General features: G+C 36.3%; 2 long non-coding RNA genes across 2 annotated transcripts in view, besides 1 other annotated feature; one reads left to right on the plus strand and one right to left on the minus strand.

Moving 5' to 3' along the window:
• Positions 1 to 12,930, minus strand: part of TARID (TCF21 antisense RNA inducing promoter demethylation) — a 386,755-nt gene that overhangs the window by 334,500 nt on the left and 39,325 nt on the right. The window contains exon 2 of the long non-coding RNA NR_109982.1: positions 9,126 to 9,200. This is a non-coding gene — a long non-coding RNA (TCF21 antisense RNA inducing promoter demethylation). The remainder of the gene's footprint in view (positions 1 to 9,125; positions 9,201 to 12,930) is intronic.
• The window catches only part of LINC01312 (long intergenic non-protein coding RNA 1312), a 32,846-nt gene that overhangs the window by 15,605 nt on the left and 4,311 nt on the right, over positions 1 to 12,930 (plus strand). Inside the window, exon 2 of the long non-coding RNA NR_027030.1 lies at positions 842 to 973. This is a non-coding gene — a long non-coding RNA (long intergenic non-protein coding RNA 1312). The remainder of the gene's footprint in view (positions 1 to 841; positions 974 to 12,930) is intronic.
• Positions 1,214 to 1,263: a silencer, noted in NCBI's record as "silent region_17554". NCBI's record gives its function as "represses an Ori minimal core promoter by ATAC-STARR-seq in GM12878 lymphoblastoid cells {active_cell/tissue: GM12878}" and the evidence as "EXISTENCE:reporter gene assay evidence [ECO:0000049][PMID:35858748]".

Below are 12,930 nucleotides of genomic sequence, written 5' to 3' on the forward strand. Positions count from 1 at the left end.
GACAGAGCAAGACTCCGTCAAAAAAAAAAAAAAAAGAAAGAAAAAAACCTGCACTAGAATAAGTCCTAGTTCTTTCTTTTCTTTAAAGACAGACAAAATGCGATGTTTTAATTCTCATTTTACCTAATAATAAAGAAAAGATGTACCATTAAAATCAAGTAGGAAATTATCCTTGTCTTATTGTCACTTTTTTAAAAATTGTGCTATTCTGCACAGACCAGTTTCTCTAGAATGTTCCCTTGCTGACTTTTCCTCTAGTAGTATCAGTTATACCGAAAATCAGTCGTACTCTTACTTTATTTTACTGGGCACTATCAAACTTAACAGAAGAGGTATATAAAGGCAGGGAGAACTACCATTGATATAAGGCCTCTTCCGGACCGAAACGCGCAGCCGCACCTCTCTGTTCCGTCAGGTGGAATAGGCCCCCGACCCGGGATCTCTACCCAAAAGGAGGCGGTTAGAACACAGGTGTCCTATTCCCTTTAGTCCTCCATCCTTTACTAGACAAAGCTGCGCAATTAGAATAATAAAATGCAGCCGGGAGAAATTGTTAACGCTTGTAATCCCAGCATTTTGAGAGGCTGAGGCTGAAGGATCGCTTGAGTCCAGGAGTTCAAGCCTGCAGTGAGCTATGATCGGACCATTGTACTTCAGCATGGGCGACAGAATGAGACCCTGTCTTTAATAATAATAATAATAATAATAATAATAATAATAATAAATCCAAAACATCAAGAAATTGGTTGTGCCCTTTTAAAATACACTTAGAAGGGGAACGGTTAGAAATCTTAATTTCAGGGATATTTTACTCCTAAACCTATTCTTTTTGTTTTTGCAGAGATTGATCATGCCTACAATGACAACTGGAAAACAGAAATGAAACCATATAAGCCAAGCACTCACGCAATCTTTGTCCTCCCAGTTGACTTAAGAACACTTGTGAAGAAAATGTGGCGTCTTTAGATCTCAGGTAAGGGATCCGGAGCACTGTTTTTCCTGATACACCTCCATCCTGCAGGGTAGTTGGGAGTGAGGTGTGCTGAGAAGGAACAAGTTGTCCGCTTTAACTTGACAAGGCACGGCTTCCCCCGCCTCCTACTTGAAGTATTCTAGTTGCTGAAATAAATGTTCAGGTGTTTTGGGTTTTGTCTCTTCCAGCTCCGCCCGTCTGCGCCTCTCCAGCAGAGGGCGCCTTTTCCACTGGGTCTCACTGTGGGCTGCTGGGAGTTTTATTCGGTTTGGGCCGGGAAGGAGCTGTGCTGGATCCGCGCCCCCTGCCTTGGCGCCGCCTCTGGCCCCCTGAGCCGTGGCCCATCCCATGCAGAATCAATCGGGGCTCCTCACTCCCGCGCCTGCTCCCCGGGGGCTGAATCCGCCCGCCCGGGGGCCAGGTGCCGTTGAGATCCCAGGCGCTCCACCTGGAGGCCCTATCTGGATCGAAACTCGCACTCGCCCCGCCCTCTTGTTACCAGTTCTCTCCGGGCTTGTGGAAAGAGTTCCCCAACCCGGGATATATACCCGAGAGGAGGTTAGGACACAGGTGTCCTATTCCCTTGCATCCTCCATCTTCTCCTACTCTGTTACTCTCCTCTTTTGTTAGTTTGATGGTGCCCAGTGAAATAAAGCAAAAGAATACAACTGATTTTCAGTGTAACTGATACTACCAGAGGAAAAGTCAGCAAGGGAACATTCTAGAGAAACTGGTCCTGTGCAGAATAGCAAAATTTTTAAAAAATGACAATAAGACAAGGATAAATTCCTACTTGATTTTAACGGTACATCCTTTATTATTAGGTAAAATGAGAATTAAAACATTTCATCTTGTCCGTCTTTAAAGAAAAAAAGAACTAGCACTTATTCTAGTGCAGGTTTTGTTTTGTTTTGTTTTGAGACAGGATTTCGCTCTTGTTGCCCAGGCTGAAGTTCAGTGGCGCGATATCGGCTCACTGCATCCTCCGCCTTCTGGGTTCAAGCTATTCTCCTGCCTCAGCCTCCCTAGTAGCTTGAATTACAGGCATGCGCCACCATGCCCGCCTAATTTTTGTATTTTTAGTATGGACGGGGTTTCACCAGGTTGGTCAGGCTGGTCTCGAACTCCTGACCTCAGGTGATCCACCTGCCTCAACCTCCCAAAGTGCTGGGATTACAGGCGTAAGCCACCGCGTCCGACCTTTTTGTTTTGTTTTTGCTTTTGTTTTTGTTTTTGTTTTTCAGACGGAGTCTCGCTCTGTCGCCCAGGCTGGAGTGCAGTGGCGCCATCTTGGCTCACTGCAACCTCCGATTCCCGGGTTCAAGCGATTCTCCTGCATCAGCCTCCAGAGTAGCTGGGATTACAGGCACCCACCACCACGCCCACCAACCTTGCCCTTCTTGCTGCAATCTCACCAAGACCGCTCTTGTCTCCTAAGTAGCTTTGGTCTGCCCCTTTCTTGGATTGTTTAAGATCGGCAAGGAACGGGGAGAGAAAGCGTAGCTAGCCAATAAGGAAACACGAACTGAAAAGTATTTCCGAAGCATCACTCCTGTCAGCGTTATTAGAGTACTGATGGCCCATATTACGATGTCGCTGGTTGTATGTCTTCCCCCGCACAGTGTCCAGAGCACCGTGAGGACAGGGCTGCTTTTACTCTACGTTTGCATCCTCAAAAGGTACAGCACCCAGCCCAGTGCTTGGCACAGAGTCTATTGATGATTGATAAATAATAATGTACGTCGAAATTTGGATGAGGGTTCTCATTTTTGTGTTCTTACTTTTATTTGAATTTGACCTTATAATTAGAAGTGCAGGGGACAAATATTTGCTACCATGTTGAAAATGTTAATACTATAACCCTGCTCATTGATACAAATATTAGTAAGACTATGCTAGCTAAAGCATCTGACTACATGTTGATTGTTATCAGGATAGTGATGGAGTATTTTTGCTTTTTAAAAAATTTAAAGCTTTCCAGAGAAATCTGTCAAAATAATTATCATTGCATCCTAACACCTTTTATTTTTTGGGGGGGGCGGGGGTGGTGCCTAAAACATCAGAAATTTATTGGCTTACCGTTACAGAGACCAGAAGTCTGAAATCAAGGTATCAGAGGGACGTGCTCTCTTAAAGGCCCTAGGGAAGGATCCTTCCTTCCTTCTTCAAGCTACTGGTGTTTGCTGTCAGTCCTTGCCATTCCTTGACCATAACTTCAATCTACGCCTCCTTCTTTACATAGCCTTCTTCCTTCTACTTCTGTGTCCAGATCTCTAGGTGTGTAAGGACACCAACCATTGAATTATGGCCCACCCTAATCCAGCTCCACTTCACCTTAACCTGATTATACCTGCAAAGATTTTATTTTTAAATAAGGTTACATGCACAAGTCTGGGTAGACATAGATTTTGGAGGAACACCACTCAACCGAGTACAACAATTAAATTTGGAGATTTTAACACTCCAGTTTCAGTAATTGACAAAAGAGACAAAAATCAGTAAAGATATATCAACCAACTTGATCTAATTGACGTATGCAGAACACTATAACCAACAGTGGCAGAATAGTCTTTCTAAGTGCATCTAAAACATTCAACTAAATGGGCTATATAAAAACCAAATTACAATCAGTTCCACAGGATTGAAATCATGCACAGTATGTTTTCTGACAATAGCAGAAAGAAAACAGAAAACACAAACAAAAAGAAATATATAAAAACCCAAAATACTTGAAAATTATAAAAAAAATCTAATAAGACATTTCTAGGAACTTTGGAATTCTGCAACAAACTTCTCAATTTCTCCTGTGTCCAAAGAAGACATCAAAAATAAAATTAGAAACATGTTGATCTGAATGTGACTAAAGACAATGAATGTAATATCTGTTTTTATAAGCATACCTGGAAAACTGGCATGTCATGAACATTAGAAGTCAAAAACTGTTGAAGGGATGAGGGTATGATGGTGTCATACAGCTGCAGTTATATAACCTACCTTTAGGTCAGTTGCTTGTTTTAGACACGCTCTTATTTTATTAATATATTGATTCCTAAAACTCAGTACCTCTACCTGCCTTCTACAGAAGTAAAGAATCCTTAGATAGAAGCAACCAAGATTTTCGAGCTTTCAACTACTTGAGGAGATTTTAAAGGAAGTTTTTAAAAAATTAAATACATGTATATCCTATAGCATATACAGTGCATACATACAAATCTATGAACATATATCTATATTAGTTTGTCACAGGGCTTTCTAACCTGTGACCTATAAACTTAGAGACATGATGAGAGCTTTTCTGAATATTCAGATTTTTCCATTGTGTGTGCATTTTTCTGGAGAAGGCTATACAGCTTTCATTAGATTCTCAGAGAAACCCATGAACCCAAAACTTTAAAAACTGGTCTTAAAGACGAAAGTGTATTTCAATACTATTCTTTACTCTTGATAATAGCTCTCTAATAGGGACCCTTTAGGGTCTTGGTTTGTTATTGAGATTTTGGATGCCCAAGTAGTGAACATTGCAAAACATTAGGAATAATCCTAATGCCAAGAATGACCAGATGTGATAACATAACACATACTAACTGTATGAGATCCTTGATGTGTTTAAAATTTAAGTAGCATTATATCTCTTTACAGAACTAGCTTAAAATTAAAATGGAAACAGCTTTTATGCTGGCTCTGAGGCCAAAAATATAAATTCAACTCTGCACATTTTTTATTTGAAGGCATTCACAAATGACATGCAAGGAATAAACGCTGGCCAAAAGCCATAGCTAAGCATTGTGTTAAAAAAAAAAAAAAAAAAACCGTGTGTGATTTTAAGCCAAAAACTATTTAGGAGTCGGTTTCTCATGTCCTAATTATTAAATTAGGAATAAAACCAGGAAGAAGATGTTAAAAGTGGTATGCTTTAAGTATTAAGTATTCTCTTTAGGTTTAATAACAACTTTTAAAAATCAAACAAAATTGATCAACAGCCTACGTAAACAGTCATGCAAGACTGAAGAAGACTTCTCTATTTAGATTAACAAGAAAATGGTGCTAGAGGCAGCTTGGTGAGACACTGAGAACTAAAGTTAACAAAACAAATGTGTACTGGGAGAAATGATTTACACACATGTTCTGAATGCTTCTGCTTAGATTAATATTTTCCTTCAAATAAAACTGGTCAAGCTCAATAATGCAACTATAAAGATGAATGTACAGTAAGCAAGGCATTTGGTCATTCAGAGCCAAGATATGAGAGTTATTCTAGAAAAGTATCAAATAACCAAAAGTACTTTGGAATCTCTAACTACAGCATGTATAAAATTTTTTGCATGTATGACAATGTATAATGGAACCTCCAAACAAATCCAAACTTACGATGTCTTCAAGATGTAAGTGTCAGCATTATAAAGCATGGGAAAAGTAAGTACTTTATTTGGCATCCCATTTAAACCATATATGGCTTTTCTTTGCCTCTTGAGTAAAATGTCCTGCCATTTACCCTTAATTGTCATGCTAACATCCATCTCAGAATCCGCTTCCATTTTGGAAAGGGGTTAGTAAGATGAATAGGTATTTCTAACAAATCTTGATAATTTGCTTTCAGAGGGGATAGTCTAGAAATAACATCACAGCTAAGACATCCTCTTGACTTTGAACTCAAGTCAAGACTTATCAATGCATTTTTCACATTATGGATTAAACATGTGCTTTCCTTCGGGGTGCTGTGAGAGTTAAAAATCAAGTATCAATAACTATATAAATGAACATAAGTGGAAGGTTTATGAGTCAAGGGAAAAAGACACTTAAAAGGCAGTGTTACCTCCTGCTGTCTCAGATTGGTCTCAGGAAAGCCCAGTGGACCAGAGCCATCTCCTCTGCTGCTTTCTCTTTTCTGACTATCCATGTATCATAGGATTGACAAATCCACATTCTTAAGCTGTGTTTCCTAACTTAGTCTGACACTAAGTGCTCCAAGCTATTGTTTAGGAATTACCCTCTCACTATAATAAGAACTTCATTATTACTGAATAATAACTCAGTAATGAGTTTTTTTATTCTTCAGTAATGATTCCCAAATGACATAGAAGTATAGGAAGAAAAGAAGCATTCTGAGAATAAGACATTCTGAGAAATGGTGATCCTAATTACTATCAATGAAGAATCACGCTCCCACTGTTTCATTGTTTGGGGCCAGTATACATAAGTTGCTAATTCCAAGGCCTACGGGGCCAGGTGGTTCTTGTGAGGTCAATGGAGAACAAAAGTTTGTGCCCCTCATAAAATGGGCAATCTGTGTCCCATTCCACCTGTTACCTTAGGAAAAGAACATGAAGTATGGCTTTTCAAGATTTTTCTCAAGATAACTTAGACATCTGGATTTTTATGTGAATACTCCTGATTGTTAAATGCAGACACGAATCCCAAATTCTTAAATATTCATAGGCCTGCAGACCTGACGTAGCAGCAAATGTTTCACAAATCTGTGACCTCTAAGAAAAGAACTTCTTAAAACCAGGTTTAGCCATGTAGCCATGTGAACCTGGACTCATGACCTCATAGCTAGGGCTTCAGTGACCTCATCCATAGGATGGAGGAGAAGACTTCCCTAGCAGCAGCTCCAGAGTTCTTTATAAGATGAGCACTCAACAATTCTTGAGTTATGATCATCCTCCCCACACCCAGTTTCAACTCTCAGATGAGGATGTGGCTTCTGACTTAACTGCTGACAAAGTATAAAGTGTACCTCAATCTATCAAGATCCAGTGTGGCTAGCTTTCTATACTCAATTCCACAACATGAATTATTTTTAAAATTTATTGTACTTATAAAATCAATTAAGATTCACTGTAGAAAAATTACTGAATACAGATATACAAGGGAAATCTCCTTAAAAACCACCAAGTACCTTGATGTAGATCCTTTTAAATCTTTTCCTACGTGTATATTGTTTTTAGAAAAATGACATCATATCTAATGCATTTTTTGTAGCCTGCCTTTTTTACTGAATGTATTTACTCAATAAACACTGATTCTTTAGAGAAGTAGAAATATAATTCTTATAAGATTAATTTCAATTCGGGCTGGGCACAGTGGCTTACGCCTATAATCTCAACACTTTGGGAGGCTGAGGCACATGGATCACCTTGAGGTCAGGAGTTCAAGACCAGCCTGGCCAACATGGTGAAACCCTATCTCTACTAAAAATACAAAAAATTAGCCGGGCATGGTGGTGCACACCTATAATCCCAGTTACTTCTGCCTCAGCAGACTGAGGCAGAAGAATCACTTGAACCAGGGAGGCAAAGGTTGCAGTGAGCCAAGATTGTGCCACTGCATTCCAGCCTGGGTGACAGAGCAAGATTGTCTAAAAAAGAAAAAAAAAAAGAAAAAGATTAATCTCAATTCAGTTTTTTCAACATAAGCACAAATATGTCCAATTTGTCATGAGTATAGGGTTTAGGACTAAAAACACAGAACTAAACACCAAATGCAAAGCAATTCTTCCCAAAAAAATAGCTTTCCCCAAATCACTCAGTAATTTCACGATAGAATTCCCAAAATATTAAGAAATCTAGGACTATTACCCTGTAATAATAAAGCCCTCAAAATCTAAAGAAAGAAATAGATCAAAATACATTTATTATTGAGATGTAAGGACAAAGTATTGGAGACTATAAGTTAATAGTCTGAATAATGAATCTAGAGAAAATAGGAGGAAAACGATGGGGGTCACTGCAACCAATTCTGAAAATTCTAGAATGCGTATGTGATCGAACAGAGAAAAAATAAGTGCAATTCATCTATATTTATATATTTAGATAATATATAATATACATTAAATAGATTTAGATAATGTATTAATATTAAATATATTTGTTTATTAAATATATTTATATTAGTATTAATATATACTAAAGTATATATTAATAATATAAGTAACATGCAAAGTATATTGAACCCTCTACTAAATCTCTTAATTAAAACCTAACTGTTTTATTACTTTAGGATTCAACAGCTGTACAAATTTAAGTTCACATTTTCCTGGAGGACTTAATTAGTGAAATAAATGACTAGCAGACTAATTCATAGTAGAGAAATAAGAACTCGGCATTTTGGAATGTGGTATATTTGTTGAATCTCCCTCTGTTCCTTGGCCTTCTCTTGCAAAGTCTGACAATGTTACAAAAGTACATAGCCAAGAGTGAGTGAGGCACAGAGCAAATGTGAAAAACTCTCTTCTATTATACAACAAGACAGTGAAATGTTTTTCTTAGAAAAAAATTCTCTCCCTATCAATAGTCCCAAATACTAATGCAGACTTTATTTCCAAATAAGTTTCTTATGTCAATCTGTTTTAAATAAATTCTGATCACTTTAAAAGCAAAACTTGGGAGAAAATTACATGTTAGTAGGTTTGATCTGTTCAATAGTCTCACAGTGTACTCTCAAACTTGGGTGAACCAGGATTAAGTTCCAGTAGTCTTACAAAAAAAAAGACACACAAAAATCTACTAAAGATGCCATATCACTAGTCTTATACTCATAATGAGAAATTATTAGGCCCATCCAAAGATGATAGAACTTTCCATATTTTTAGTCGCTTCATGTTTACAAGTCACAGATAAACTTCCCTGCAAGGCATCCTGTTCTCCATTCCTGAGATTAAATAAATCAATAATAGAAATCATCTTGCAATACAGATGCTTCCTTCCCCAACCGAAATATTCTTATAAAAATTTAACAAGAAAATTTTCAAACATCTCATAATGTTGTTTTTACAAAGCAACTGTTAGTTATAAACAAGTCTTTTAGGTCTCAAGGAGATTTAAGATACTTCAAAGGCTTGATCTAAACCCTCTAAATCCAGGTTGCTTTCACATATTTTCTAAAACATAGTATGTTAAATTTAATGTTTGAAAAAATGTTTTAAGTGTTTTGTTATGCACTGGAAAAATTTAAACAGATCTTATTCTAAGAAATTAGCATTTTCTGGAACTTCCATTTTTACTAATTCCTTTCTTTACAAAAAATAAAGAAGCAAGTACTGTTTTTCTGTAAATGTTTGCAAACTTATTAAAGAAATAACACATCTCATCTACCCAAGGCAGTGTACATTAACATATTTTTATGTACATTTAAAAAAGAAATTCCTCACAACCTAGTTGTTGCAGATGTTCCTCTTGGTGACTCTTCTTATCAGGAGAGAGACTGATCTGTCTTCTTTTAGTATATCCTATAGGTCAGTGGCAAGAAAAAACAAATAAAGGCCATTTTAATAATTATTAGAAGCTTGTACAAATATTAACTACAAAAACCTGCTATTCTGAATTGTTCAGTTAATATTGAATGATACATAATTTTTTAATTCTGACTGAATAATTTATAAAAACATACATAGTGGTATTTTTTTAAACTAAAAGTTATAGTATACATTTTTTTCCTGTCAGCTTTAAGTGATGGTGTAGATTGGGTTCACCCTGACAGGTTTGGGTTATCTGAAATAAAAGTCACAGTTTCTTAGGGCGGCATTTTTTATTTCATAAGAGTGATTCAATTGAACTGAATAATTTCTCAGCTTTCCACTGTTCTTTCCTAGGAAAAAAGAACTGTATACAACAATAATTTATTATTTCTTGTTTTAGTACATATTTTGAAAGTTTTACAACCCAAAGGAACACAGATAACTCTTTAAAGTTCCATTTCCTCTGAAATAAAACAATGTGTAGCTCTTACCACCAGCTGGACATATTTCCCTCAATTTCAAAATAAAAGAAGAAATGTTGGTCTATTTGTTATACTTGTTATTATTTCTGTTTATCCATGCAAAGTAGCAGAAGTTTAAGAGGCATTCATTTATACCAATTTTGCACAATGAGATCCTGTAATCTTTCCGTTGTATGTGTAATGTATAGAAGGTGTTCATTACTTAGCATATTGAAGAGGCAACCATTGAAAAAAGAAAGATAGTCATATTATGACATTTAATCAGAATTGAGTCATGGTTATAATTATCTGTTACTTTATGCTTCCTGAATTTCCAAATTGTTCCAAAATAGATTAAATATGCATATTTTTAAAAGAAGGAAATTAGAATAATAGTTTTTAATGTTCCAAGGACTTGTCCATTGATGTCCTAGCCCATCTTTTAAATATACAAAGACAATAAAAACACAGGAGTAATAGAAACCAAAGATATGAGCTCTTTCCTTGAAGGAAAAATTATGTAATTGATTTTCAGTTGATATTTTGTAAGGATTGCTGCTAAAAGAATACTGTACTATAGTGAAAACTGAGTTTATTCTGTCTCCTATTACAAAATTAACAATTTAATAATTTTCTTTCTGTTTATTCTTCTAACAATCCTAAATATGAAATTTTATTTTGAGCACTATGTACCTAATTTTGTTAGTTACTACAGAGTGGCAAGTTCAAGTTCTTTTATATCTCCTTTTTTCACACACATGTGCACACACAAAAGCACAGAGTTGTATATCTGAACGCATAGTAATTATTCAAGCAATCATTGGACATTTACTGGGCACTCATGCTTTTAGACAATAATAGAGCTCAGGTTCCTAAAGTGAGAAGATCAGTGTTTATGACAGTTGCTTTGTCCTCTGTATTTTCATCAAGATCCAGCCCCCACCCATTAACACAGAATCTACAAAAGAATTAAACTAAAACATTTTAAATTCCCAATGAGATACGTGCTCATCTTCCAAGTATTCATTCCCTCTTCCCTAGAACATGAGCCTTAATGCCTGTATAGTAAAAGAGCCCAAACTGTTTAACTGTCCAGGTAGTAATAATAGTAACTTGTATTCTTATAGTGCAAGGAAACAAGAGAGAAGATGATAAAATGCAAATTTCCTAATTAGATTCAAAAGTCCATGATAAATTTTTTCTTCCCTCCTGCAAAGACAACAGACATCTGGATTTTATAGTATATTTATTCCATCATTCATTCTCTTATTTATTCACTTATCTTTGTGTCTTTTAACTGGAAACCATTAGACAGTCTATACAATGGTTTTAGAAAGTGATTTGCATACTACTAATGTCAAAATACCTATAGTTTAAAAAGACACATGCACATGTATGTTCATCACAGCATTATTCATAATAGCAAAGACATGGAATCAATCTAGATGCCCATCAATGGTGGACTAGCTAAAGAAAAAGTGGCACATATATACCATGGAATACTACGCAGCCATAACAAAGAATTAAATGACCTTTGCAGCAACATAGACACAGCTGGAGGCCATTATCCTAAGTGAACTAATGATGCAGGAACAAATAACCAAATACCACATGTTCTCACTTATAAATGGGGGGTAAACATTGAGTGCAAAGAGGGAAACAACAAACATTGGGGCCTACTTGAAGGTGGAGTGGGGGAGGAGGGAGAAGTTCAAAAAACTACCTTTTGGGTACTGTGCTCACTATCTCGGTGACAAAATCATTTATACAACAAATCCTAGCAACATGAAATTTGCCCATGTAATAAACCTGCACATGTATCCCCTGAACCTAAAATAAAAGTTGAAAAAGAAAAAAAAAGGAAACATAACCCAATTAATTTGGCTTAAAAGAGTTACAATACCAAAGTAACTTTGACCTCCCTAGAAAATTCAGATGGAATAGTTTCTATCATATTAAATATCCACCAACTAATTTATAGTGTTTGTAAGATGCTATGCATTTATAAAAATCACAGAAACCTCTTTTGAACACTGACTGTTCATTTATAACTTTTCATCATTTTTTTCAAAAGTCATTATTAAAGAAGTGTTTGTTTTCACACACACACACACACACACACACAAAGATTAATTACTGTATTCTATTAGTTACTGTATTCTATTCTGAGGACAGTTTGTCAAGATGCTACTTGTCCTGTGATGTGTAAATAACATATTTATGTTATAAATTGCTACTTGTCCTGGGATATGTAAATAACATATTTATGTTATAAATTTGTGTCATTAAGAAGATAAATATGCACAGCTATAAGAAATATTAAGTTTATTTATATCCATGAAAGAAAGTCAGGTCTCTTTTCTTGCAAAGAAAATTGCTAGAGAATAATTGTGCAATGAAGAATCCTATGTCTGGTGTGCCCAAGTACATTGTCAAATAGTTCCGACATTCTTCATTGCACCAAAGAACCTTCCTACAGTATTCAACACCCAAATATCCTTGGTTCCATGTAGAAGCACACTTGGAACCAAGCTTTCCAACACTTAAGGGAATGTTTGCTGTGTAGAGTATCTTTTGAAGTGCTAGTCAGGACAAAACAGTAAAAAGCTTTAGCCATTAAGATGTCAACTGAGTGAAGTATCCTCACCTGAACTCCATACTGCAAGAACCATGCTGCCATGTTTAAAATTCTGACTCAGACAACTAACTGTACCCAATTCCAAAACACACTTCTTGCCTATACAAGTTTTTAAAAAGAGACTTCAAGGTAAGGGATAAAGCTTGCATCAAGGCTTAGAACATAGATGCATTTAATCAAGATCACACATGAGAGAAAGGGAATTGGAAAGCTCTAAAATCCTGTTGAATCTTATTGCATTAACTGTACAGCTTACACAGTTCAGGAAAGCCCATGTTCTCTTTCAAACAAAATATAAATACTGGATCTGGATTGCTGAGATTATAAAAGAGTCAATGACATCTTTTTCAGGGGTTATTATTTTAACCCTGACGCCATAGCTGCCTGAATAACTAGAATCTGTCTAAGATTCTTTCTTGCTAATTGAAAGAGATCTACTTTATTTTATTTGAAACATTATATATGTTGAGATTTTTGGCCAAGCGCAGTGGCTCACGTCTGTAATCCCAGCACTTTGGGAGGCCGAGGCAGGCGGATCACCTGAGGTCAGGAGTTCAAGACCAGCCTGGCCAACATGGCGAAACCCCATCTCTACAAAAAATACAAAAATTAGTTGGGTGTG

This window comes from Homo sapiens, chromosome 6, assembly GCF_000001405.40.
Source record: "Homo sapiens chromosome 6, GRCh38.p14 Primary Assembly".
Lineage (NCBI taxonomy): Eukaryota > Metazoa > Chordata > Mammalia > Primates > Hominidae > Homo > Homo sapiens.